Source organism: Homo sapiens, chromosome 13 (genome assembly GCF_000001405.40).
Source record: "Homo sapiens chromosome 13, GRCh38.p14 Primary Assembly".
NCBI classification, from domain to species: Eukaryota; Metazoa; Chordata; class Mammalia; order Primates; family Hominidae; genus Homo; species Homo sapiens.
The window spans coordinates 19,040,052-19,047,680 of NC_000013.11; positions in this window are offsets into that span (position 1 = coordinate 19,040,052).

Consider the following 7,629-nt stretch of genomic DNA (forward strand, 5'->3'; position numbering starts at 1 on the left):
TAAGTCCTTCCTGGGGAGGAGGGCATTGGGGAAAGTTACAGAGAAAATAAGAAGTCCCTTGTTGTAAGGAACAGAATCTTTCTATTCATAACGGGCTGCCTGCAACCTGGAAGAGTGACTTGCAACAACACAATTGAACATTCTCTAAATAAACAAACCAACTTTTGCACTCAAAACTGAAGTACTAATGATACTCTGCTAAACACCTGAAAAATAAAATCCTTTTGATTTGCATGATCATGCCAAATCTACCTCTTGCATATGCAAACACCCAAACTTCTGAATCATTTTTAAAAATCTAAAAAAAATCATGTAGATGATTAAGATGCAGTTTTGGTCTATGCAATTCTAAATCTCCAGAAACATACACACACATACACAAGAACACAAACAGAAGCTCGTACGTTCACAGAGAAACTGATGCTAGAAATTAGTTTTTAAACCTATTTGATTAATATCGGAAGTACATTTTGCAGCAACAGTCATCAAAATTATTCCTCAATGTTTAGTCATGGTTTTACTTTATAGAGAGCTCTATGAATTAATTTCAAAAATAAAAAAGATAAATTATGCTAGGTAGCACTTTATAAAAATTAAAACGTGTCCATTAAAATGTTTTTTAAACTTTTCTAAATTACAAATTGCAAAAATTATCCCCCAAAGAACTTTGAAAATATACTCAGAAATTAAAATACTTATATTTACTGTTAGATTTTGACAACTATTTGTCCTTGATAAAACCTTTTATTACATCCAAATGATTTTAACCACCAAAGACGTATTAGATTTTTTTTTAAGTCACAGACAGCTTTAATCTTGCAAGTGCATTATTCCAAAACGTGAGTTAAATGTGAAAAGGCCAAATCTGCTGTCATGAAAGCCATTCTTTGGATGTCCTTTATAGTTGAAGCAGCCAAAAGTCTATACTGAATGCCAGAATAATGAAGTATACAGATACATATTTTTTCTCTGTCTAATCTAGCATCAAACTGGGATTTATTCAATGAGTTATTTTGTTGTTGTTTTACAAAATTGAGTATTTCAAACCATACAAGTGGATTCTGATACAGCTCTAAATATTATAACACAAACTGAAAAGTTTAATATTTAATATAGTATTAAAAAGCAAAAGAATTATATTGCAATGAGTCTAATGAAGATGTATATTTTTTTGCTTTTTTATTGCATGTATCTTTCAATGTCTAAATATTATCACCTTCTGTAAGTGCTATGTTTCTCAATTCATGATTAAAGAATTGTCGGATTTCTGCCAGGATACAATTAAAGAAACTAATAAGTAACTGCAAACATAATTTTTTATATCACAGTAACAAACATTATTAAATGTAAAAAGGGTTTTAACAAATGTCCCTTCTCTTGTCATTTAAACAACTGAGCCATGCATGATTCTTTTTAATTCCAGGGATTGTTACTAAAAGAAAATAAAACGCACATGATTCAAAATATTACTGATTAAATTTTCATTTTCAGTTTACAATAAAGCTAATATTTTAACTTGTTTTATGTCTTTACTGGTTGGATTTTATTTACAAGACAAATTTGTGCTATAAATTGTTGGAGATGAAACCAAATTTCTATCCAAATCTCTCATAATCTTATAAGGAGGATCTTACAGCTAGGGAATAAAATAATCAGAAATAATTTAAAATTAACGAATTACATGGAAAGTTCCTGAGGTGATACATGCACAACAAGCATTTTATTAGTTTAAATGGTACAATATTGAATATACATTATTAAACATATTATGTTGAATTATATCATGGTTAATTTTTTTAAATTCAGAGAGTCTGTCTGTCACCCACACTGGAGTGCAGTGGTGTCATCACAGCTCACTGTCACCTCAAACTCCTGAACTCAAGATATCCTCCCACTTCAGCCTCCTGAGTAGATGGGGCTACAGTTGTGTACCACCATGCCCAGCTGTGTGTGTGTTTGTTTTTTATTTTTGGTAGAGACAGCATCTCCTCATGTTGCCCTGGCTATTCTTTGCTCCTGGCCACAAGTAAGTCTTCTACTTTAGCCTTTCAAAGTGTTGGAATTACAGGTGTGAGCCTCTGTGCTGGCCTGAGGATTAATTTCATGTGTCAACTTGACTGGGTTAAGGAGTGCCCAGATAGCTGGGGAAACACTCTTTCTGAGAGTGTCTGTGAAGATGTTTCCATATTAGCATTTGAACCTGTAGTAAGCAATCAGGAGCAAAAGAGGTCCACTCTCACCATTGTTGGTGGGCATCATTCAATTCATTAGGGGCTGCTCCAATAGAAAAAGCAGAGGATGGGTTCTCCAGCTCACAGACAGCAGAACATTGGACTTGTGGGCCTCCACAATAATAAATGTGAGCTGATTCCCATCATGCGTCTCTCCTTATATATTTCTGTGTGTCCTATTGATTCTATTTCTCTGGAGAGCCCTGAATAATATATATATGTGTGTGTATATATATGTGTATATGTGTATATATACACACACACTTATGTATATGTGTGCATATATACATATATGTATATAGTTTATTAAAATAATAAAATTTAAAATAACAACTTATTAAGTAAGCTAATAATTTTTAAAAGCCCACAATGATGCAGAATTTCTCTCTCTAACTCTGGAGAGAACATCCACTGATCTATGGCCGATGGTCGGAGTTTAATAAGATAGTATGTCTCATTTATTGAGCATTTTCTATATTTCAAACATTGCCCAAGTCCCATTATGTATGCTAACACACTGATTCTTACAACTTGGTGAAATAGTTATTAATATTCATACTAGCAGATGAGAGGATGAAGTTGCACAAGTTCAGTTAGCTGCTGGAGTCTTGTACAGTTAAATGATGAAATAAGAACTAAAATCCAGTACTATGACTTCTACATACATACTTTTTGCTTTGTGCTTGATTGTCTTGGAAAATCAGTTCCCAAACTCCTCGATGCACTTTTAGAAAGAGATAGACATTCACATGCTCTAAACCGAGCTACTACATTCCCCATATTGTGCTTTCCAAAAGGTACACAAGCAGGCGGTAACCATTCTTACCATCCACACTGTATACCCATTTTGTTCCTGTTGGGAAATGTCTGAGGAACTCTTACTGGTTGCAAATATTTTTCATCTAATTTATGACTTAGGTAAATACTTATTCTACTTCCCTTAATATTTCCTTCCTTTCAAATCACCCTTTTTTAGATTTTCATTTTGGTGAATAATTTACAATAATAAATTATGAACATTGATATTTAGTTCTACAAAATATCTGTTTACAGAATTATTCATATGAATTTTCACTGGCCTCTTACTGTTATATTAATAAGGAGAAGGCTGCTGGCAAGAAGCAAAGCAAAACAAAACACACACAAAAAAATCCTTTAAATCTCTGAGATACTGAAGTACTTTGGTTTTAAGCATTTGATTGTATGAGCTCATTAATGAATATTAATATTCTTCACTGAAATTTGCTACCTATACTTTCATGCTTCTTATCACAGTGGGTTTACCTACCAGTGATGTTTATTACCCTATTATTATTCTAAATTGAGTGTAGATAGTAGAAATGCCACAATTATCTTATTTTCTTGGATACTTCCTCAAAGTAGTTTTACACTATTTTATTTTCCTTCAGTATTTTATTATCTAATATATCTGTCTAAAGCAGTATGTACAAAAGGCTAATAAATGGCTCTGTTTAGCTAAGTCTACTCTAGTCTAATTACCATGAAAATGTTAGGTCTAAATTTCTAAACATTATAAACAACAATTTTTTAAACAGCTCTGATTTTCCCAAGAATACAATACTCCAGACTATCTTAAGTTTACACATGTGAAAGAGAAGGAAATATATATGAAAATATCATACCTCTTCTTTAGCTATAAGAATTTTTCAACTGGGGTTTTAAATCATCACCAACTTAGTATCACCCCTTGGCTCTGCAGTCTTTAGCTCTCAATATATGGTTAACACTTTCATTTTCTGGAGATTTCTGACTTTAAGGTACTCATTAAAGGATGTTTAAGAAATGAAGCAGGGGATGAAATGACGACTTTTATTTTAAAAGTTTAAGTGCAGAAAAATTATGAAGATGGAGCCTGATGAATAGGAAAGGCAGACAGCACCAAATGCTGGTGATGCTGGTAGGAATGCAAACGCTACACCGCTTAGGAAGACAATTCGTCAGCTTTTTACAAAACGAAGCAAACTCTTCTCATATAATCTAGCAATCATGCTCCTTAGTATTTACACAAAGAAGGTGACAGCATGTCCACTCAAAAACCTGCACAAGAATGTTTATAGTAGCTTAATAATTGCCAAACTTGGGAGTAACCAAGGTATCCTTAATTAGGTAAATGGATAAACTAATATATCCAAATAATGAAATATTATTCAACATTAAAAAGTAATGACCTGTCAAGCCATACAAAGAAATAAAGGAATCTCAATTACATGTTTCTATCTGAGTGAAGCCAATCAGAAAATGCTACATACTGTATGACTCCAGCTACATGACATTCTGGGAAAGGCAAAAGTATGGAGACAGTTAAAAAAAATCAGTGGTTGCCAGGAGTAACGGGGGACAGAGGGATGAGCAGGTGGAGCACGGAGGAATTCTAGGGCAGTGAAACTCTTCTGTACAATACTCTAATTATGGATATTATGTTCAGATTTTTTAATAAATAAAACTAAAATTTAAAATAGAGTAAGAGGGAATCAGGTTGATTTGTTTCAACTGAAATTCATGATCACAAAGCTCATGTCTTTATATTTCCTAGAAAAAAATAATATTCCCTGCTCCATTCACTCTCATCCTTTCCCAGAGTAACAGTTCATGTTTATTTTCTCTCCTTCCCATTTTCACTCTTTGCTGATGACTTTGTTTTCTATTTCACTTGTAAAAAAAAGTGGTAATTTGAGAAGAACTTCAAAGTCTCCAGTCACTACATCTGCTCACCTTCATAAATCCATACCTACATTCTGTTATCTCTCTTTTCCATATGGGTGAACTGTCTTTGCTTCTAAATAACGTCCACCCCTCTTACTATGACTAAGGCCTGCCTCTTGTTTTATTAGTCAGGATTCTCTAGAGGGACAGGACTAATAGGTAATGTATATATAAAAAGAGTTATTGAAGAGTATTAACTCACACAATCACAAGGTGAAGTCCCACGACAGGCCGTCTGCAAACTGAGGAGAAAGGAAGCCAGTCCAAGTCTCAAAACCTCAAAAGTAGGGAAGCCAACAGTGCAGCCTTCAGTCTGTGGCCCAAGGTCCGAGAGCCCCTCGCAAACCACTGGTGTAGGTCCAAGAGTCCAAGAGCTGAAGAACTTGGAGTTTGATTCTTGAGGGCAGGAAATATCCAGCATGGGAGAAGGATGAAGGCCAAAAGACTTAGCCAGTCTAGCCCTTCCATGTTCCTCTGCCTGCTTTTATCCTAGCTGTGCTGGCAGCTGATTAGAGGGTGCCCGCCCAGACTGAGGGTGGGTCTGCATCTCCCAGTTCACTGACTCAACTGTTAACCTCCTTTGGTGACACGCTCACAGACACATCCTGGAACAATACTTTGCATCCTTCAATCTAATCAAGGTGACAATATTAACCATCACACCTGTTATCTACTCATGCCTATCATTCCAGCAATACTCTTCTTTTTCTGCATCTGAAATTTCTTAATTCCTCTACCAGGTTCTTCACATCAAAAAACAAGAAAATAAAGTTATTTCATTTAATGTGAAAAAATTTTTTCTTTTCTTCAGACACCATATTCTCTTAGTTTTCCTCCAGCCTCCCTAGATAATTATTCTTGTCCTCCTTATCGTCCTTGCCTCCACCCAAAATTTGAAGTTTCCCAAATTTCTCTACTATTTGAATGTTTACCCTTTGCTGCACACCGATATTTCTTAAATCCAGTTTCATGATTTAGTTATGCTTATAACTGCCACACAATTCTTCATATTCAATTTGGATAGTTACTCAGTGTTTGTGTTGAATCATTCTCATCATCCTGGCTTAAATAACAGAGTTTGAGGCTTGAAATTTTTACCTTTAAAAAAGTTATACTTATTTCACATAATACACAGAAATAAATTTCCTGAATATTAAAGACATTTTATTATAAAGAACATATTCTGTATAACAATGTCATAATTATATTCTTCTCTATCTCAAAACTGTTAAAGTTTCAAAGTTCGCGTATGTCTTTAATACTTACAATGAATTCCCATGATACAAGTTTAGCTCTCACTTTCTTGTTCTTTTGGAATTGTTCCTTGAGATTTATCGGGATATATAATTATCCAACTAAAAAAAACTAGGTTTCCTATCAGTCTATCTTCCTATCTAGTTTAGGATTTTTCCCAGAATTTTTCACTTTTAACCACGCTATTAATGGTTGCATTAAGGTAGGCCTTGATGGTTTCTGCACTTCCAGACTCTCCCTTGATTTCCTCTCATAGCACATGAGACATCTGTGTGGGCACAGCAAGAAGGGTTCTCACTGTAACAGAAGCTTGTATCTGAACAACGTCCAGTAACATAACCAATCTTATTCTTAATCCTCTCTGGATGCACACAACACAGCCAACAGTTTCCTTTCTGTGGAAGTAGGCATACAAATATAAGCTATTTTTAAAACTATTTTATAATTTGCTTTAGAACAATTTAGAGCTACCGATACAATAAAAATAAATTATTAGCTAATAATAAATATTTCAAAAAGTATATAAGTATGTTTAGCACTCCCCTTTTCCCCTCAAAGTTGCTCGGGTTTAGACAATAAATTCTATAGCCACACTACTATTTAGTCACCATTTTAAAGATCAGACTTGCCGGCACTTCCTCGCCTCCTTAAAGTTGCTTGGAAAATAACATCTTTGTAGTTCCCATGGAACCAGGTATAGAGGCCATATGTTGAGCATGTATGGGAGTAAGAGCCACTGAATATGGGTGTCTGGGAGAAGACATGGAGCAGAGCTTCCCACCAGCCTGGATCCCTCAGCTGCACACTGTTACTGAAGAGAGAAATAAAGTGCTTTTATTAAGACATTATATTTTGGTGTCTTGTTGCTACAAAAGCTTAGTCTGTCTCCAAAGTAATATATTCCCTAAATAATAAAGATTAAAATTTATTTGCAGGGCTCCACATTTAGGCAGCAATGGGAGAATCTTACTGAAACCTGACCAGCCATGACTAAGGACCATTTTTCCTTCTCAAACTAGGGCCAGAATGCAAAGGGTTATGGGTGAAAGAGCTCTTGGCTGCTATCAGAACCAAAAAAGAGCAACTTCTGATGAAGGGCACAGTGAGAAAGAAAATCACACATAAATGCAAACCCTCCTGCAAGTTTCCTCATGCTGCTGGGCAGAGTCTGGAGACCTGAACAGGGTGGTGGCTGCAGGAAGCCACCTGCTCTCATCTGAGGGTGTGGCCAGGCAGGACCTGGGACAGAAGGGGCGGCCCAGGGATGCCACAGTGCCTCCACAGAAGGCCAGGACCGAGCCACAAGCCTGCCTCATGGTCCAGCTGCCACGGCCCTGAGGGGTCCTAAGTGGACCCAGAGCCCACTCACACCCATTCCTCAGCTGGTGACAGAGCCAGGGCCCCACATTCCCAATGGAGG